The 22,298-nt window shown below is 41.8% G+C and overlaps 1 long non-coding RNA gene and 2 pseudogenes across 1 annotated transcript in view; 2 read left to right on the forward strand and 1 right to left on the reverse strand.

The window, feature by feature from the left end:
* Positions 1 to 22,298, reverse strand: part of FER1L6-AS2 (FER1L6 antisense RNA 2) — a 125,452-nt gene that overhangs the window by 95,376 nt on the left and 7,778 nt on the right. The window lies entirely within an intron of this gene.
* Positions 297 to 2,263, forward strand: LOC392268 (neuropilin and tolloid like 2 pseudogene; annotated as a pseudogene).
* On the forward strand, positions 10,400 to 11,189 carry ARF1P3 (ARF GTPase 1 pseudogene 3; annotated as a pseudogene).

Genomic DNA, 22,298 nt, shown 5'->3' on the forward strand with positions numbered 1-22,298 from the left:
AGGATATTAAAACCTAGACCTGTGGCTTGGGTATGGCATGATAATCTTCTGGAAACTGACAGCTATTTTCAGAAGCTTAAGACACATAGTTTCCTCTCTCCCTTCCTCTTTTATGGTTGTAAGACATCAGTAGGCAGGGTTTGAGTTCCAGCTTAGCTACGATTTGGCCATATGACCTTGTACAAATGACTCACATGTTAAGGATTCAGTTTCTTTATCTGAAATATAGTGGTAACACTTCAGTGATCCCACACAGCACAACCGCACTCCTCTGCCCCCCTACCCCTGGCTGTATGTGGGACCAGGTGCTGCAGAGCAGGAGGTGGCGCCTGTCGGGGAGGGGGATGGGGGGTGTGTGTAGGGGCAGGAGATGGCGCCCCTCGGGCATGGCGCCGCAGCCTCAGCCCCTCGCGAAGCGCCGGGCAGCTAGGGAACATGGCCCTGGAGGGGCTCTGCTCGGCCCTCAAAGATGGACAAAATGTTGGAATCAAGCACATTCCTGCAATCCAGTATGACATTTGGATTCAAACCAGCAATGAGGTCATTTTGCTTCACCAAATTATCCTGTCTCATATCCACCAAACAAGGAGCGTATCTACATTTTGGACGCTGCTCCACGTGAAAGAATCGAGCTTCGATGAACATTATTATATAGAGCCATCATTTGAGTGTCGGTTTGATCCCTTGGAAGTTCCAGATGGGCCATTTGGTTTCTCTCCCCTTATAGATTATTACTGCGGCATGAAAAACCCTCCATTAATCAGATCAACAGGGAGATTCATGTGGATTAAGTTTAGTTCTGATGAAAAGAACTAATATTCATTTATTCCAGATCCAGACTTTACTTACCTAGGAGATTGTGGGTTTCAGCTCTTGGGAGCCGATGGAATAGTGCACTCTAGTCAGGTACAACAAGAAGAGAAAACAAAACCTGGCCAAGCCGTTGATTGCATCTGGACCATGAAAGCCACTCCAAAAGCTAGGATTTGAGGTTCCTAGATTATCCAATGGAGCACTCAAATGAATCCAAGAGAGACATTGTTGCAGTCTACGATGAAAGCAGTTCTATTGAAAACCTGAAGGCCAAGTTTCGCAGCACTGTGGCCAATGATGGAATGCTTAAAACAGGAATAGGCGTGATACAAATGTGGGCAGATGAAGGTAGTCGGCTTAGCTCAAATTCTCTTTACTTCCTTTGTTGAGCATAACACATACTGTTTATCCACCCACCCATCAAAAGGCATTTTGTCTGTTCCCACCTTCTGGCTATTGTGCGTAATGCTGCTGTGAACTTTGGTGTGCAAGTAACTGAATTCCTGCTTTCCATTCTTTGGAGTATATAGCTAAAAGTAAAATTGCTGGATCATCAGCTCCCTGCACAGGCAGCACTGTCTTTTGCCATAGCAACATGTGCATCAATAATCCTTTAGTCTGTAATGGTGTCCAAAATTGTGTATACCCTTGGGATGAAAATCATTGTAAAGAAAAGAGAAAAGGCAGGACTATCTGAACAAATCACTGAAACTCATGGGACAGTTATTGGCATTACTTCAGAGATTGTCTTGGTCTTTCTCATTATTTCTGTTTTAGTACAAGTGAAACAGCCTCAAGAAAAGGTCATGGCTTGCAAAACTGCTTTTCATAAAACCGGGTTCCAAGAAATGTTTGATCCTCCTTATTATGAACTGTTTTCGCTAAGGGACAAAGACATTTCTGCAGATCTGGCAGACTTGTCAGAAGAACTGAACAACCACTAGAAGACGCGGCACTCCTCCACCACCTCCCAGTGCATCCATGACCACCACTGTGGGTCGCTGACCTCCAGCGTCAAACAAAGCAGGACCAACCTCAGTTCCACGGAGCTTCCTTTCCAAAATGACTTTGCACAACCACAGCCAATGAAAACATTTAATAGCACCTTCAAGAAAAGTAGTTACACTTTCAAACGGGGACACAAGTGCCCTGAACAGCCCCTAGAAGATCAAGTAATGGAGGAGATTCCTTGTGAAATTTATGTCGGGGGGAGAGAAGATTCTGCATAAGCATTCATATCCATTGAATTCTAATCTTCTGCTAAAGGTGATGTGAATTCTTAAGTGTGTACATATGCAGCCTCCAGGGTACCATACTGTTTCCAGCAGCCAACCCTTTTCTCCCGCCACAACTACGAAGACCTTAATTCACCATTAACCTATTATATGGTGATGTTTTTATTCTCTCAGGCAGTCTATGTATGTTAAACCAATCAAGGAACTTACTGTATTCAGTGGAAACAATAATCATCATCTATTGCTTGGTGTCATAAAGCACCACCAGTTAAAGAGCATTGGAAGAGGTGGTTGGATGGAGCCAGGCTTGGGCTGCCTATTAGTTTTAGCAAGGGGAATACTGCTCTTAACGATACAGCTCTGTCAATATTCTGATCCCACAATAAACTTTAAAAAAAGACACAGTAGTAACACCTATTATTTAATAGGCCACATACCCTGATGAGTGTATTAATGCATTACATAATTTAATCTTCCTAACCCTGTGAGAAAGGCATTTTCCTCAATTTAGATGAGAGGTTTAGTAGCTGTCCAAGGTTACTCTGCTAGTGACTCACTGGGTCAGAATTTGAAGCCTGAACAGCCAGGCTTCACAGCTGATGCTCTTTTGCCTGCATCAGCCTCCTGCCCATGGCTGTCCCTCCCATAGGCCTTTGGTGTGAGCATAGAGATTATGGCTGTGAAACTGCTTTCTGTGTTGCAGAGAGACAGAACAAATTCCAGTCATTGTGTGATCTAATATGCTGGCTCCATATCTAACCTCCCTTTGGGGCCCATCTCTTAAGCCACAAGAACCCCAGTGAAAGGAATCAGTAGAGAAACCCATTGCTCTGTCACTGAACAGCTTCCCCCTCTAGATCTGTGATGGTTGTCTTGGGAACCAAGCAAATTCCTTGCTCTCTGCTCTGAGTATGGGCCGGCTGGTACGGCTGCCAGAGATGGGCTTCTGCTGGTTTCTCAGGTGCTGTTGGCCTTGGTGGTTTAGAACGCTTGAAGATTGGGCAGGAATCAAGAGATGTGGGGTAGTTTAAAAAAATAAATAAATAAAAAATAAAACTCATAGAAATTTGGGTAGAGACCAAAACCAGTCAGGAAGACCATCCAACTCAACCTTGACTCTGAAGTTCCCAGGCAGAGAAGGAGACAGGATAGAACGTGGGAAAATCAGAAAGAGGAAGAAGAGACAAAGTGAAGATGGGAGTCAGAACGCAGTAAAACTCCTATTCAGAAAGTATCAGTGCCAGGCTCTTAGAGGAGGGTGGGGACCTTGGGCATAGGCAGAAGGAGCTGCCAAGACACTAAATTCACCCAGATGGGCAGGCTCGATTCGTCATTGCTGTTTGTACCACCCCCTGAGGGAAGGGACCTCAGGACGGTCAGTTTTGATGGGAAGCATGGTTAGGGCTTGAAGAGTTCCTCAAGGGCTGGTGCCGGGTGTCTAGATAAAGTGTGGGAAAAGGGAGGATGGTGGAGCTACAGAGGCAAAAGCGAGCAGAGGGAAGATAGTACACTAGCACACCTGCTCCATGACTGCCAAAGCTGGTTCCAGTGAGAGGCCTCATCTTTGTTTGACCTTGATTCAGCCTTCACTGAGCCAGAGCCACCAACTCAAGTCATACCCTGCCCTTAGGAAATCCACCAGCTTGTTGCAAGAATCACAAGCCATTACTACCCAAATTCACTGATTTTCTAATCAGTCTCCCCAGCAAATAAAAATTTCTCTCATATGTTTCAATTCACAATATACAAAGCATTCAGCTCATGTCTGATAATACTACAATGAGCTATATTACACTAGAACTCAACCTAGCATCCACATCAAAAACCCTTAGTTTTCTCATTGCTTTAAAGGGATCTGCGCATCAAGGCACTTGCATGTTGGAGATGGGACGACAAATACCCATTCCCCCTCGCCTCCAGGTTGTAATCAGCTGGCAACAGGCTTGATGAGCCAAACAGGGACCAGAGAATTTATTTTCTCAATATCAGCAAAGACCCTATCATTCTCAAGGTCATGGTTTTCTAGTCAACTGTCTCCCTCTCCTGCCCTGAATGGAAGGTAGATGGACCAGCATAGCAGGACTAACTTATTAACCAATCCACTGCTTTGCCTTTTTGCTTTAGGTGCTGCTGAGGCAGGCAGGGAATGGTGAGCTCAGGAGACTCACTGTGCCTGGGCACAGACCCAACAGGAAGCAAGAGCCCTGAGAAGAATGAGCAGTGACCTTAGCACATTAGCCTTGTTCAACAGAGCAACATGGCCGCCAAGTGCCAGCCTCCCACCAGCTCTCCAGGACCGAATCAGTCTTGCTTTCTGCTGATGCGGTGGGAGGAGGAGTTAGAGGTAAACTTGCCATCCCAGTTTGCCTAGAACTGAGGTGTTCCCAAGATGTAGAGTTTTTCATGCTAAAACCAGAAAGTCCCTAGCAAATCAGGATGCACTGTTCACCACCTTCCTTAAGCCTTGGCAATGTGTCCCTCCAAAGAGAGGACAGGGTATAAAGAGAAGAAAAGAAAGACTTCTCCCTAATGTGGCTTTAGTAGCCACCCTAGGCTGATGAGAACTGGGATAATTAGCGGATTGTGTATGGGTGTGGGGATGAAATTTTAGATGTAAATACAATACCACCTTAATATTACTGCTGTTCGCGTGGTAGAACTACAGGTGATTTTTACATTCTTTATGCTTTTCTGTTTTTTCCAAACTTTCTGCAATAAACATCTGTAGCATGGTAATCAGAAAAAAAAGATCTCAGCTGTTTTCAAACAATAGTAATAAAAAGAGAAGACCAGTCATTTAAATAATAAAACCCATTTTTAAAATGTGATCCTTTGATCACTTTCTCCTGTACCCCAGATGGGGGTGAGAGGCAAAGTTATATTTATTAACCAGTGCAGAACAACTAGTAAGGAAAATGAAAAACGGATTCCAAATTTACCCTGTGTAGCCTTTGGATACCCAGTGGTAGCATCGCAATTTTCCAGAAGTAACTATTTCACTACTCTCTCCTTCTTTATCATAATCAACAGTGACTATTTAATCTTGATTCACCCCAAACCCACACTACATTATCCTTTTCCTCTCCAGGTACTTTCATCGAATTGTAATTGTGATTTAATGTTATGCCCTTGATTTAAATAGCGTTACTTTTTGAGCAAGCATGGCTGAAAATACAATTTTCTCTATTGTATTCAGACCCCTTTCAAGGAATTAATGTTGGAGACTGAGATGACAAATTCTTTATTCCCCTTGCCTCCAGGTTGTTACCAGTTGGTAATGACACAAGGGGCCAAGCAGGGACCAGATAATTCATTCTCTCCATAGCAGCAAGGACCTTATCACTCTCATGGTGATGGTTTTCTAGTAAACTCTCTCCTTCCCCTGCCCTGAATGGAAGGTAGATGAATTTGCTCCATTACCTGCCTAAGTGAGGAGAAAATCTAAAGAGACAGACTCTTGGTCCAGATTCAGCACCTTCCTGAATGTATACTTTTAAACATTCCCAAGATTCAGCTTCTTTGTCCCAAAGGCGGAACTGGGTGACACTTTTTATCCAAGTTTCAGAGTGCCCCTGGGAGGCTCAGTCAAAAACAGTGAGCATAGAAGCGCTCTGCATGCTATAGGATGCTATACAAAGATTTTAAAGTATTTATCAAGGGACTGATCATTTTGCCTTAGGTGCCAGGAAACAGAAACCAAATCAACCAGAAAATAAGAACACTTATTCATTCGTCCCTGCATCCAAAACGCATTTCTTTGTCAGATGAGTAAGACAATCTAACCTCGGACTGAGCCCAAGGCACAGTACACAGTGATGCTGCAGGCTTCCAGACCATCTTCCACCCACTCCTCTTAGTTCCGGGCTCTGGGTCCCTATGAGACAACTCTGATCACCACTGTGTTTGAAAAGCAAAGCTTCAAACCACTTCTCCACTGCTAACTGATAGAAAGTCACATTTTTTCTTCACTTTTACCCAAAGGGAAAAATAAACACTTCAAAAATGACAAAAGTCCTTCAGGCAGAAAACTGGACTCAGAGCTAGAAAAGCCAGACAGTAAATACCTGAACTAGCTGGCAGGAAAGATCTCTAAAGAGTTTCTTCAGGGCATCTCCCAGAAAGAATGAAAATAAACCTTTTGAAAACCAAGCAAGTAGGTCTCACGCCCTTTATATACATTTATTGCAAACTTTCTTTCAACCTCTGGCTTGGTGCAAAGAAATCATTAAACACACAGACACACGCTCAGCCAGAGAAGCCTCCACTTCTAGAGTACTGAGGCTGAGGGAAGATGAGGATGACTCACTTCCCCACAGACCAAGTCTGTTTCCCAAGTAAGCGACATCCCATATAATGTAGGTGGCTGCTGGAAAGCCATCTGGATCCCCAAATAACGCCTCTTATCTCAGCCCCTCCTTGTCCCACTCCAACCTACCTTACGAATGTCTGAAACTCAACCCCCTTGTGATTTCACTCGTTTAGGTTAAGATATATCCCTGTTATGCCACCCACTCCAGGTGTTGGCAAAAGTGAGCAGAATTTGGCAAGCCAAGTTCCAGGCATTTGCAGGAGCAAAGGAGTTAGTAGTGAGTCATTGAGAATGGAAAAGTCCTCCCTTAGATGTCTGTGGAGAGCATGCTGCAGCCTAGTGGTTCTCAAACTTCAGCATGCCTCAGGATCTCCTAGAAGGCTTGTTAAAACACAGACTTGGCTAGATATGGAATTTCAGCTTCAAAGATACATATCTTCAGCACTTTGAGGCTGGTTCTTTATTGTCTCATGGCATCTGATGTGGCTCCTGAGAAGTTGATGGCACTGATTGTACCCCTTTGGAGGTAATCTGCTTTTCCTCTATGGTAGCTGTTAGGTTTCCCTTTCGGAGCTTATTCTGAAGCAGTGCTACATTGTGCCCAGGTTTGATTTTGTTTTGTTTTGTTTTGAATTCCATTTTGTAGATCTTTTTTTTTGTTCTGAGAGCTCAAGTCTTTCCTCAGTTCTGGGAATATCTCAGGCAGTAAATTTTCACATGTCATTTTCCAGCACCTTATTTTATCTTTTTTAACCCCTATGTTGTATCTTCTTGCTCTGTCCCCTCTACTTATCTTTACTTTCAACTTTTCTACCTCTTTATCTTTTAATAATTAACCTTAGAGTTTACAGATTTACTCTTCTATAATCTTCAGAATGTTGCACTTGTTAAAATAACAAATTAACTGCTTGTTCTTCCTTCATAATCACTGTCCTTGTTCAAAAATCAATGAATTTTATTCATTCTTTTATCTCATATAGACTATTAAATATATTCATTTAAGTGTCTGTCCCTAATATACACACTGCTGATGGTTTACTGTTTTCTTTCTCTGTTTCTAGCCTATAGAGATGCCCCTATATTATTTTAGAAGGCTGTTAAATATTTAGTAATATAGTTATTATTTCTATGTGCTTTTGAAATAATGCCATTTATCCCATGCTCAACCCATCATTTTGGGAGTATCATTATATACTCTCAATCCTTTTCAGTTCCCAGCAGCTGCCACCAGCATCCTCCAACCAACGTTATCTCCTAAAGCCCAGAGAACACTTTGCAAAATACATATGGCTGTCCCTTAGAGAGACCTCACAGTTCCCATCTCTGCTATCTCTCTGTATTCAGGAAGCATAGTGGGCAAATGGGTGGTCTAGATGCTTTTTTATTCTCTGAGTTCAATTTAATATAAAAAGAAGAGGAGGATAGAAAATAAAGCCATTTATTCAGGCTCCTGTCTGAGGTGAATAACAGTATCTATTTCTCACTTCTCACCCACACTGTAACATTTATCCCAGGAAAATCAAATCCATAGCTTACCAACTGATCTATGTTCCATGGGGCAGACTCAGTTTCATTCACAGCTGTATCCCTTGTAACTAACACGGCTCTAACCTATAGATCGAATGAACCACTTTAAGGAGGGAGCAAAATATGTTTTATTAAATCTATTTCTTGGTTGAGCAAACTGAAGGTCAGTGTCACAGCCAAATATTACAGGAACTAGGACTAGGACCCAGAATTTCTTGACCCAATTCAACACATCCCAGGAGAACCAATACAACTCCTGTTGACGATGTGTTGACTAACCATTCCTCAAAGGCATGAACTGCATCTTATTCATCTATGTGCCCATATGAACACTCAGAAGCTATTCAATAAGATGCTTGTTAGAGTATTATAATTAAATTACTAAGATTAATTTTCCATTGGTTTCTTCATATTTTTGCATTCATGGAACATACTGGAACCTAATGATGACATTAAGAACCCTCTCCCCAGAAAAATGCACATCTGTATGCACACATGACACACAACATTTTGCATCAATTTCAAAGGTCCTCCAAACTTCTAAAGCTGGGTAAGATCTTAAAATCTCCTTTCAAAGTCTTGAAATTCTGGGGCTTATAAGAGGCCTTAAAGATTACTGATTTCAATTTCCTTATTTTATACATGCAGAAACTGAGGGCTAGAGATAGGAAGTTACTGGTAGATTGATCCTAGAGTACATGCAAGGAAGGCCTGGGATATCTACTGTTTGGAAACCCTCAGAATTAACTGGGTAAAGAGACCCTCCACCTCCCTTGGACATGGACTTTGCTCAGAACTGCTCTCTCTACCCTTACCTTCCTGAGCTTCCCATTGGCAGAAGTGACCTATCCAAAGTCTGACAGCCAGAAGCCCTGAGACTAGGACCCAGGTCTTCTAGCTCCCAGCCCGTTGCCCTTTCCATGACAAACTTGATCTCCCAAAGTTTTTCGACATCTTCTCTCTCTCAGCCAGCTTCTCCCACCTCACCCTTCCTTCTGGGTTCTGCTTTCATTGGGTGCTTTCTTACATGACATTCCCCGCTTTTTTATTAAAAAGGAATCAAAATCTCAGTTCATCGAGTGAAAAACAGATCAGGATGCTTGAAACCAAATTTACTTGTATATTTCCAATGCAATGCTCCCTAAACCAAACTCTTTACAAATAAATAAATCAATCATGACGTGTCACTTGTTCCAATCCTGAGGAAACAACAACATAAATAAGACAAAGTGATGGGACTGGATAACAGGTGTCATTTAAAATCATGTCCTGAAAATGTCACTAGAGGGTTGGGTAAATCTCTGTTAAGCTAAAATAAGTTAAATGCAAATAAATAATATTTAGGGAGAAATATGGGCACAAAGCAAAATTAAGTTTTGCTATTGATAACACGCTGTGATTACATCAAACGAATTGACGCTTCCGGTTAATAAAAATTGTTACCTGCCTCAGAACTTTAATTACATAATCACTAATAATGCAGGTTAATTTCATAGAATTAAAAAAAAAACAACTACCAAAACAAAATTATTTTTGGAGTTAACCCCTGCAAGATCCCAAAAAACATACAAAAGACCAAATGTTTGTGAGTGTTTGGCCAGTGTTGGAACTCAGGTCTCAGGGCAGGGCAATGACTTATCCAAGTTACATAGCAGTTAAGTTATACAGGCTAGATTACCAGATGAGGCCATGACATCTATGAATTGTTTTTTCTGTAAATAATAACATATGATAATGATGAGTTTTGCTTCCAGCAATACTGACTAGGTTGTTTTGGACCAACCATCCTGCTGAAGATGATAAAAAAAAAAAAAAAAAAAAAAAAAACCTAAACAAAATATGAAGAATGCCCATGAAAGCATTAGAAAGTTACCAAGGCAAAGAGCTTACAGGACAAGATCCAGTAAAGCCAGGGAAGTGCAGCTCCTTTACTGCTCAATTTGGCTGCTGATTCCAAAAGCAAAAGCTGAGCTTCCGGGAAGCTGAGTAGAGTTTTGGGGATTCTCACAGGACTGGAGAGAAATAAAATAAGGCTCACGGCTCTCCAAAAAGGAGCAGCTTGGGAAAATATTCAAGACTGTTAGTTGGAAAACATGAAAGGCTGATACTTAGGTGTAACAGCAACTAGGAACTAGAACATCCCTCCCAAGGACTGAGGCTTCTAATAATTTAATCCCTGATTTGATTAAGGTGATCCTCTCTTTGCTTAGTTTTGGAAGGTCCAACAATGAAACAAAAAACAAATGTGACAAAGAGAAAACAAATTGCAAAACGTTAAACTTAAACTCGGCCATGTGACTAATTATATTAAATAAAAATGGACCAAACAACACTGTAATTAAAAGGCAGATATTGTCAAACTAGATTTTAAAAGGCCAAGATCCAATTATATGCTGTCTATAAGAGATGCGCTTTAAACACAAGAGCACAGATAATTTGAAAGCAAAAGGATAGAAAAGATTTTATGAAAAAATAAGCATAAGAGAACTGTTGTGTTTCTATTAAGACCAAAGTAGGGAGCGGAACCAATGCCTGGCTGGGGGAGCTGCCACTGAGGTGTCCCTGGCCAGTGTCCTTCCACCCACTCGCAAGCATGGGGGACATCTTCACCAACTTCTTAAAGGGCTTTTTTGGCACAAAAGAAGTGCCCATCATCATGGTGGGCCTGGATGCTGCAAGGAAGACGCCAATCCTGTACAAGCTGAAGTTGGGCGAGATTATGACCACCGTCCCCACCTTAGACTTCAGCGTGGAGAATGCGGAGTACAAGAACATCAGCTTCAGCCTGTGGGATGTGGGTGGCCAGGACAAGGCCACTACTTCCAGTGCACACAAGGCCTGATCCTCGTGGTGGACTGCAATGACAGAGAGCTCATGGACGAGGCCCAGGAGGGGCTCATGAGGATGCTAGCTGGGGTCAATCTTGGGATGCAGTCCTCCAACAAGCGGGGCCTCCCCAACACCAAGAATGCAGCCGGGATCACAGACACGTTGGGGCTCACTCCCTACACCACAGGAACTGGTATATTCAGGCTACCCGCACCATCAGCGGCGACGGGCTCTGTGAAGGACTGGACTGCTGTCCCAGCAGCTCCCAAACCAGAAGTGAACACGAACCCCGATCCTCTCACTCCTCCTCTTGCCTTCCACTTTACTCTCATGTAGCAAATGTGTAGTTCATGGTGTGAGTGCCAGAAGCTGCCTCTGTGGTTGAGTCACCATGTGCATCTCACCGTGCTGTAAATGTGGAAGACACAGACTTCGGCCAGTCTTTTTATTTAATGTAAATAGTTTTTATTTCCAATATGGCAGTTTCTGGTACTCCTATGCAATATTACTCAGCTTTTATTGTAAAAAGTAAAATCAACTCACTGTTCAGAGCTGGGGAGTGATGTAGGCCCATGGGCATCTGGCCTCCAGGAGTCACTGTGTGGGGAGCGCAGGGTGTGCCCCTGGCTTTTGAGATGTGTTGAGATCCATTTTGGTGGTTGGTTGGCTTTTTTGTTTGTTTTGTTTTGTTTTTGAGATGGAGTCTTACTCTGTCGCCAGGCTGGAGTGTAGTAGTGCAATCTCAGTTCACTGCAACCTCTGCCTCCCAGGTTTAAGTGATTCTCCTGCCTCAGCCTTCTGAGTAGCTGGGACTACAGGCGCGAGCCATCACGCCTGGCTAATTTTTGTATTTTTAGTAGAGACGGGGTTTTGCCATGTTGGCCAGGATGGTCTCAATCTCTTGACCTCGTTATCCACCCTCCTCGGCCTCTCAAAGTGCTGGGATTACAGGCATGAGCCATCGTGCCTGGCCAGGTGGGTGGTTTTTAACCAGAACTCAGTGCATTTTAAAAAAAAACAGTTAAAAATCCAAGCCAAGAAAATCTGACCACATGGGAAGGAGAGAGACCTGCCTAGCCTAGGTATGCAGTTTGAGTTGCCAGCTCAGTCGTTCCCCTCAGGAATGTGAGGAAGTGGAGTGGCAGCCCACAGTCAGTTCCGCATGGTCACAATAGAGATCCCCACAACTCACTTGTCCATGGGTCACCCTGTGTTCCACAGCCTTGTGCTTGTCCCTGTGCTCCCAAGGTTACTAGGTGCTGGGCTTGGAGCTCATGGCCATCTCACTCTCCCCCAGGCCGACAACCCCACCTGCCCACCTGCTGTGGCCAGCTCGGGGGATGCAGGGCCCCACTGTCCCTTAGTCAGCATGAGGCCAAAATGGGCCCTTCATCCCCAGCATTCACACTTGCTCAGACACACGAGCGAGGTGTCTGGGGCCTCAATGGCAGTAACACGTGCAAGCTGGGCAAGCTGCCCATCTAAACCCACATCCCCTCAGGAGCACCCCATCTCCATGTGTGATGTAACTTGCTCTCTCTCAGCCTGCAGGGGGTCTGATCTGCCATCAATAAAGACGACTTCTACTTTGTTCTTTTGTATTTTGATAAACACTGAAGAAGCTAGAGCTGCTAAATTTATCTTAGGGAAAACATTAGAACTAGTCTATTTGGTGTTATGGAACCTCTTACTACTTTTAATACATGATTGATAATCAACAGTTTTGTTATTTTTCTTCTGTTTTCATTTTGACAAACAAGCACTGTAATTATAGCTATATAATAAAATTTGCCAGGGCATGGTGGCTCACTCCTATAATCCCACAACTTTGGGAGGCAGAGGCAGGTGGATTACTTGAGCCTAGGATTTCAATGCCAGCCTGGGCAATATAGGGAGATCTCGTCTCTACAAAAAATTTACAAATTGGCTGGTTGTGGGTGCGTGTGCCTGTAGTCCCAGCTACTTGGAAGGCCGAGGTGGGAGGTTTGCTTGCACCGGAGAGGTCAAGGCTTCAGTGAGCTATGAGTGTGCCACTGCACCCCAGCCTCGGTGACAGAGTCAAACCTTAATTATTGAAAAAAATGATCAAAGTAGGTATCAAGATAAAGAGTATTACTAGAGATAAAGGGGGACTTTATTTTCTAACTTTTTAAAAACTAATTTTTTTTTTCTTTGAGACAGAGTCTTGCCCTGTTGCCCAGGCTGGAGTGCAGTGGCACAATCTCAGCTCACTGCAACCTCCATCTCCCAGGTTCAAGCGATTCTCCTGCCTCAGCCTCCTGAGTAGCTGGGATTACAGGTGTGCACAACCATGCCGGCTAATTTTTTGTGTTTTTAATAGAGACGGGGTTTCACCACATTGGCCAGGCTGGTTTCGAACTCCTGACCTCAGGTGATCCAAGTGATGGGATTACAGGTGTGAGCCACTGCGCCTGGCCTAAAAACTAATTTCCTAATTCCTAAATACTGAAAGTGTCAATTCATCAAAAAAAAGAACAATTCAAAATAAATATGCACACAAATCACAAAGGTTCATTAAGCAAAAACTGACCAAAACTAAAAGAAAAAATAGAGAAATGACAATAATAGTTGAAAACTATAACCTCCTCTTTTGGTAGTTAGTGGAAGAATGAGCAACTACTATCGATACTATCAACCAATTTTAATTAATTGACATTTGCATAATTTATACCCAACTGACAACAGCAGAATACAGATTATTTTCCAAGGTATGAGGAATAGTCACCAAGATACACCACATGCTTTTTCATAAAATAAGTCTCAATACATATTAAAAGATTAAAATGTTACTATGCTCTTGGCCAAATTGAAATTGAAATTAATAACAATCAGTCTTCTAGAAAATCCTCCAAGTACTTGGCAATAGGAAACATACTTCCAAACAAGCCATGTGTTAATAGTAAAATATAAGATGTTTTTGACTGACTGATTTAAAAAACATGTCAAAATGTGTGGGATACAGCTAAAAAGGAAATTTACAGCTTTAAATACTGATATGAGAAAAAAGGGAAGCTTTTAAAATCAATGATCTAAATTTCTACCTTAAAAAAATAGGAAAAGAAAACTCAATCTACAAGGAAGGAAATAAAGAGATGATCAGAGATCATTGAAATGAAAGCAATAGAAAAGTGAACAAGGCCAAAAGTAATAAAGAAAATACAGAGAAAACAAAATTGTTAATGTTAGAAATAAAAGAGGAGATATAAGTTCCCATTGTACAGACAGTGAATAAGGCAATGTAATAAACTACTTTACACCAGTAACTTCAACTGGACAAATTCTTTGGAAAACACAACTGACTGAAAGCAACAAGAGAAGAAATGGATGACTCAAATACTGCTATTAGTTATTTAAGAAATCGAATCCATAACGAAAAATGTTCCCACAAAGAACAGATGATTTCACTGGTAAATTCCACCAAACATTTAAGGAAGGGAAAGCAGCAATCTTACACAGGCTCTTCATTTTATGAGCCTAGTCTTTGTCCTGAGAAGGGGTTGATGATGTCTGGAAGAGTGGCTGATTGTCTGGATAAATGAATCTAGGGGAAGTACCTGAAACAAACAATAAGATTACCTATAACTTTATTTTCCTGAGCAAGAATTGTTTGGAATGATAAAATCACCTTAATGCAGACAGTGTACTGTGATTGCAGGTTTCAGTTCTCAATATAGTGTTCTAATACATTGGACTAATCTCTGGTGTGACTGCCTCGGGGAGAAGTAGAGGGTAGTGTTTGGGAAGGGGGACAAAGAGGGCTTCTGGGGGGGCTAGAAATATTCCCTTTCTTGACCTCAGTAGTGGTTACACAAGTATGCTCACTTTGGTATAATTTTTTTCCCAACTGTTTAGGTTCATGCGGTACATGTATAAGTTTGTTACATGGGTAAGTAAATTGCACATCACTGAGGTTTGGTATGCAAATGACGCTGTCACCCAGGTAGTGAGCATATACCAGGTAGGTAGTTTTGCAACCCTCACTCCCATCCTACCCTCCTCCCTCTAGTAGTCCCCAGTGTCTGCTGTTCCCATCTTTATGTCCATGAGTACGCAATATTCAGCTCCCACTTATAAGTGAGAAAATGGGGTATTTGGTTTTTTCTTTCTGCATTAATTTGCTTAGGATAACGGCCTCTAGCTGCATCCACGTTGCTGCAAGAGACATGATTTCATTCATTTTTATGGCTGCATAGTATTCCATGGTGTATATGTACCACATTTTCTTTATCCAGTCCACTGTTGATGGGCATGTAGGTTGATTCCATGTCTTTGCTATTGTAAATAGTGCTGCAATGAAAGATGAGTGCATGTATCTTTTTGGTAGAATGATTTATTTTCCTTTGGGTTTATACCCAGTAGTGGGATTGCTGGATTGAATGGCCCTTCTGCTTTAAGTTCTTTGAGAAATCTCCAAACTGCTTTCTACATTGGCTGAACTAATTTACATTCCCACCCACAGTTTCTAAGTGCTCCCTCTTCTCTGCAGTCTTGCCAACATCTTAGTTTTTAAAAAAATACCAGCCATACTGACTGGTGTGAGACGGTAAACTCACTGTGGTTTTGATTTGCATTTCTATAATGATTAATGCTGTTGAGCATTTTTTCATATATTTGTTGGCCAAATATGTCTTCTTTTGAGAAGTATCTGTTCATGTCTTTTGCCCACTTTTTAAAGGGATTGTTTCTTGTTGAATTGTTTAAGTTCCTTATAGATTCTGGATAGACCTTTGTCAGATGCATAGTTTGTGAATATTTTCTTCTATTCTGTAGGTTGTCTGTTTACTCTGTTGATAGTTTATTTTGCTGTGCAGAAGCTATGTAGTTTAATTAGGTCCTATTTGTCAATTTTTGTTTTTGTTGCTATTGCTTTTGATATCTTCATTATAAAATCTTTGCTGGGACATATGTCCGGAATGTTATTTCCTAGTTTATCTTGCAGGGTTTTTACAGTTGTAGGTGTTACACTTAAGTCTTTAATCCATCTTAAGTTAATTTTAAAATATGATGAAAGGTAGAGGTTCAGTTTCATTCTTCTGCTAGCCAGCTATCCCAGAACCATTTATGGAATAGGGAGTCCTTTCCTTACTTCTTGGTATTGTCAACTTTGTTAAAGAGCAGATGGTTGTAGGTATGCAAATTTGGGGTTCTCTATTCTGTTCCATTAGTTTATGTGTCTACTTTTGTACCAGCACCATGCCGTTTTGGTTTCTGTAGTCTTGTAGGATAGTTTGAAGTCAGGTAGTGTGATGCTTCCAGCTTTGTTCTTCTTGCTTAAAATTGCTTGGCTAGTCAGGCTCCTTTTTGATCCCATATGAGTTTTAGAATAGTTTTTTCTAATTCTGTGAAAAATGATGTTGGTGGTCATTTTCTGATAGAAATAGCTGATAGGAATAGCACTGAATCTATAAATTGCTTTGGGCAGTATGGCCATTTTAATGATATTTATTCTCTAATCCATGAGTGTGGGATGTTTTTCCACTTGTTTGTGTCATCTATGACTTCCTTCAGCAGTGTTTTGTACTTCTCCTTGTAGATATCTTTCACCTCCTTGGTTAGATGTATTCCAAGATATTTTATGTGTGTGTGGCTATTGTAAATTGGGTTATATCCCTGATTTTTCTCTCAGCTTGAGTATTATTGGTGTATAGAAATGCTAATGATTTTTATACATTGTTGTATCCTGAAACTTTACTGAGGTCATTTCTCACCTCTAGGAGCCTTTTTGTGGAGTTGTTAGGGTTTTCCACATATAGAATTATATCATCAGTGAAGAGAGATAATTTGACTTCTTTTCCTATTTGGATGCCTTTTATTTCTTTCTCTTGCCTGATTGCTCTGGCTAGGACTTCTCACTTTGGGATAATTCATTAAGTTCTCACTTAGGATTTGTGTGGCTTTATGTGTATTATACTTTAGTAAAAATTTCATTAAATATATTAAACATAATAAGTGGGCTAAAATAATAATGGTTGTTAATTTCTAGAGTATTAAGAGTCATTACAGCTTTCTGGCCTTACAAGACAAGAAAACAAGTTGGATCATTGAAAATATGAAGGCAGGATTCAGGAAAACAAATTCAATTGCTATTTAGTTGATAATTATGCTGTAAAAAGCTTAACATTACTACTTCTGTCTTTATTTAGTAGTAATCAATAACGACAGAAATAGAAAACTTGGCATCTAGCAGATGACTGCAATTATATTTATATGTATAATGTATATTTACATATATATGAGAGAGATGTTTAAGAATTAAGTCTGAAAAAGATACAGGAAAATGAATAAAGCTATCATGTTTTCTATTGAATTTATTAAAATGAGTAAAAACAGTCTGGTTAATAAGAAGGGTGAGAGAAAGGGGGCAGTTTTCCTCCCTAAATTCAGTTTATTTCTCATTTCTTCCTTTCTTATTTTTTATTGATATATAACAAACACAAGAGCAATAACATGCACAAATCTTAAGTACACAACTCAACAAATTTTTACAAAGTAAATATTCCTGTGTAGCCAGCATTCAAATCAAGGTACAGAATATCACCAGTATCTCAGAAACGTCCCTTTGTGCCTTCTCCCCTTCCCCTCACGAAGGTAACAACTGGACTTCTATTATCATAGTAAAGTTTGGCTAGTTTTTGAACTTAAAAACATACAGTATATGCTCTTTTGTGCCTGCATTTTATCACTCAAAGCTAATCTGTGAGCATACTTCTTATTTTTAGTTGCACTGTAAAGGTGGGTCATGATGCTACCAGTAAACAAGGCTCAGAGTGCAATGGCAAGAGCAGGGACTTTGCAAGCAAACTGAGCAGCATTTGGGTTCTAGTTCTGTTACTCTGCCTTGGGGTGAATTTTGAATCTCTGAGCTCTTCATCTGATTCTTAGAATGAGAAAATAGTTACATGGCAGGATTGCTGGAAGGATTATAAAGAATATCAATAATAATAAAGTAAACCTTTATCGAATATTTTGCATGTGTCAAGTGGTTGAGTAAACTCAACAATGTTTTGCTGGCCTTTGTTGGCAGCACAGCTATATGTGTGAATCCCAGTCTTTGCTTCTCTCTTCCAAAGTCCAAATTCCAGAAAAGAAATTCAATTGTCTCAGCATGGGTCAGGTAGACACTCTTGGAAAAATTATATTACCTAATGGGAAAAGGGAGCCTTGGCATTTACATAGTATTGACCAGGGCACAGGGACCTATGCATAAGGACTGAGCATGCGCCTGGAGAGGAGGGATTACCCCCAGACAATTACCTTAAGAGCACCTGCTATACTCTCAGGAGCCTGGCCAGAGAAACACACAACTCCTGCAACTGGATAAGCATAGTCTAGCAAAGAAAAACCAGAATCCAAAGTCCCTGCATATGTGGAGTATCTGATTTATATAGAAAACCAGCCCCTGTCACAATGAGGTTTAAAGTACAACAAAAGAGATAACACGTTGATTGACCTAGTAACACACTGGGAAGGTCAACCAGCCTCCAAACTCAAGATAAGAGAGCCTTTCCGTGGTCAATTGGGAACCCTCATCTTGTTGTCTTAACCATGTCCCCAACCTCATGGGATCCTAAACCAACCAACCTCCTTACCAAAAATCAGACGAACTGAACAGTGGCACATTGAGGTCACTTGAGCAGGTTCTGTATTATTATCCCCACTTTCCAGATGGAAAAGTTCAGTTAGGAATCAGCAAAGGGACCTGCCCTGTCTGCGTATAGACCCAGGGTGTCTTACACTGTATGACTCCCGCCTGCATAGTTTTCTTCCTTTAAAAGATTGTTTTGAACCAGCTTTGATGCCAGGTGGTCTAACTTGGGTGCCAACTGGATTAGGAAAGGAGGGGTGTGGCCATCAGCAAAGGGGCTCCTGCTTTTCTTTTGCTCTTACAGCCTGGCTTCCCTGACCTTTCCAGCACTGCTTTACCTGCCTCCCCACGTTGTTGAGATCTGTTATGTCTACCAATGCTGAAAAAAGAATGCAGATCATATAGCAGAACTGCTATTCAGCTTGCAAAAGATGGGAGAAGAGGGTAAAAAGACATACTTAAAGAGGCTCATTTTTTAAAAAGCTGAGTGATTATTTCCTCTCAGAATAAAATTATGTAAATGCATTCACTGCAGGGAGGGGGAAAGATGTCCTTTGGAGAATGAAGCTAAACTAATTTTAGCATTTGCATTTGCAGGACAGAGCTATGCTTGCTAATGCTGACGTGGGGCATGACAGGGTATGCTTTGGGTCACGTGAGACTCAGGCAGATGACATCCCTCCCATCCCCATCCCATCTCCCCATTCTCCCCTCCAACGCCCCTTCACGGGCAGCCAACCTTTCATTTGGTTCCCATGAAGAGTCACAAGAGGCAGCCTAATCCAGTGGACAGAGTGAGGAGATAGCCTCTGGAGACTCCTGTTCTGTGAAATGGGAACTATCCATGGTTCCTGTAAGAATTCCAGGTAGTTGTGTACATAAAGCACCTGGCACAGGTAGACTCTCAAGAAGGGTGGTTAGTGTGGCTCAGCCTCACTCCCTTATTATTCATCTATCTATCCACCCATTTATTCACTCATTCAACAGACTTTCATTCATATCAGATGCTGGCACAGTAGAGGAGATGGAACCTCAAAGACAAATAGAATAGGGCACAGCCTCTTCCTGAGAGGCTCACTCTCAGCAGGGAAGGCTGAGAGCAGACAGCTAACTCCAGTACAAGCAGTAGGTGGGAAGGTGCTGAGTGGCTGTGCACAGGGAGCCCTGTAGAAGATGCCATTTGTTTTTATGGGGGGCAAGTAAAAGCTTCATGGAGACAGGAATGTTCATGCCTGGAAGAGTAGGATTTCATCAGGCAAAGCTGGGGATGGGAAGGAACTCCAGGGCTAGGGTGGCATAGTGGGGCAGTGGGTGGGTGAGAGCAGGCTTGGTTGGGAAGTTGGGCTAGCTCCAGAGCCCCCACTGAAGACAACAGAGCAGCAAACCAAGGCATGTCTTTTTCAGATATTAGGGCAAGTGTCGAGTGATAGTTCTCACCCAAGCAATAGAAAATAGAAAAGCAAAATCATGGTTAAGTAGGAAAGGGTGGAAAACTTAGTACAGCTCCTCCAATTTCCTTTGGGCATGCTTTTGGCCAGGAGATTGTCATTCATACAAAGTTGAGTGAAATTGATTACAGGTAAACGCTGAGATTCTAGAAATTGATGGAATCCTAAAAAGTCCTTCTACCTTCCAAGTTGTGTAAATTAAATGAAATGCAAAATTCACTTGGTACTCTTGTTATTTATAAATAAAGCCTGCAGTGAATTATTTGCTAAAGCAGACTCAGCTCTTTATTTCTCTGACTTAGAAGTTTAAATTTTCATGTAGAATGATAGACTCTTGGGATGGAAGGGGCCCAGTGCTATGTACTGTCCTGGGGTGTGCAGGTACAGAGGGAAAAATATACTCTTGTGTAGTTTCATACAAATAAAATACTCCTGGCTTTTTGGGAAAAAAGTTACTTCTACCTTTTAAATAAACTGTCAAAGTGGTCTAAAAGTATCGACAATATCTAAAATAAATTATTAGAAAAACTTATTTTTCCTTCTTAAAAATCTGTTTCTTTCTCATTTCTAATCTTTAGCATAACCTTTACTCTTTTTGGTGCAATAACCAAAAGTAGGGTGGCATACTGCAGACTTAAAAGACAAACCTGAATCTGATTTCCAGCTCCACTATTTAATTTCTCTAACCTTTATTTTCCCATCTATAAAATGGGGAAAATAATCCCCATGTAGTTGGTGGTGCTGTTAATGTAACTGGTTATTGAACAAGCATGATGGTGCATTGGGCTGAAACACGCTTTAGTTTTTACGCTTACGTCCCTTGAAACTTTATTCCTGTGGTGGAGATGAGAACGGAGAGACTATATGGGGAAGGGGGTAGTCTCCCAGTGTCTGTGAATGACAAATGCACCAGCCTGTTCTGCTCAGACTTGGGCAGTTGACAGCCTTTAGGTTGCAAACACAGTCACAATCCAGCAATTTAAAATTTCATTTCTGGCCAGGCCCGGTGACTCCTGCCTGTAATCCCAGCACTTTGGGAGACCAAAGCAGTAGGATCACTTCAGACCAGGAGTTCAAGACCAGCCTGGGCAACACAGCAAGACCCTGTCTCTACAAAAAGAAATAAAAAATTAGCTGAGTGTGGTGGCACACACCTGTAGTCCCAGCTACTTGGGAGGCTAAGGCAGGAGAACTGTTTGAGCCTAGGAGGTCGAGGCTGCAGTGAGCCATGATTGTGCCACTGTACTCCAGCCTTGGTGACTGGGCAAGACTTGGTCTAAAAATATATAAATATATAATAAAAGTAAATAAATGAATAGAAGTCCAATTCCTTTTAATGACCCAAACTCTTAACTTGACTTAGCTTTAAGCCTTCCCACCTCCAAGCTCAGGCCTGCTTTGGTGAATGGGCAGGGGGGAAGAGGAGGTCCGTCTTTCTGCTCCCTACTCTCACTGTTCATTGTCCTCTGACTGGGGCTGCTATTTAGGATCTGCCTGGCTAGGAGGAGAACACGGGAGCAGAGGTGGAAGTATGGAAATAGGACAGTTTTTGCTTAGTAATGACCACACCCTCTGGCCCTGGCTGATGGTCAAGGCTACAGGGAAGACATGGCAAGGTCTAGGCAAGTCTCCCAAAGCACTCCTCACTCGGCTTGAGGCAGGAAGGTAGCATCCCTACTCTCTCCACCAATCTTCTCTCCACCTATCATGACGTTAAACCAGGTAAAGGCGCCAAAAGACAAAACACATTCGTCTTCATTGTCGTTGTAAAGCCTGCATGAGGGAGGTCTTGCTCACATTCACCATCCTCAAAAACCAGCCTACTGGGCTTAATACCTATGTAATGGGTTGATAGGTGCAGTAAACCATGATGGCACGTTTGCCTATGTCACAAACCTGCACATCCTATACATGTACCCCAGAACTAAAAATAATAAAGAAAAAAGAATCACTCAAAACAAAACAAAAAACCATAATACTGATGCTTTAGTAGGAAAACAGGCAGTGGCTCATGCCTGTAATCCCAGCACTGTGGGAGGCCAAGGCAGGCAGATCACCTGAGGTCAGGAGCTCGAGACTAGTCCGGCCAACATGGTGAAACCCCTCCTCTACTAAAAATACAAACATTAGCAGGGCATGGTGGTGCATGCCTGTAATCCCAGCTACTCAGGAGGCTGAGGCAGGAGAATCGCTTGAACCCAGGAGGCAGAGGTTACAGTGAGCTGAGATGGTGCCACTGCACTCCAGCCGGGGTGACAGAACAAGACTCCGTCTCAAAAAGAAAAAAGAAAAAAAGAAACTCGCTTAAAAAGCCTCCTTTTAACATCCTATCACATAAAGATTATAAATAATAATCCTCAAGTGCTTGGCTTATAGTAGGTGCAAATTCTATAAATTACTGATATAGTATTGTCTTATTAATAATTTTTTTCTTCCACCTGGCAGAGGAGAGGGGATTTTCCCAATCCCAGCAGGTGCCTGTTTAAATGCATCAGGATTCTTTTCTAAAAATGTTCTGCAGTCAACACATT

The sequence above is a fragment of the Homo sapiens genome, chromosome 8 (assembly GCF_000001405.40).
Source record: "Homo sapiens chromosome 8, GRCh38.p14 Primary Assembly".
Taxonomy (NCBI): domain Eukaryota; kingdom Metazoa; phylum Chordata; class Mammalia; order Primates; family Hominidae; genus Homo; species Homo sapiens.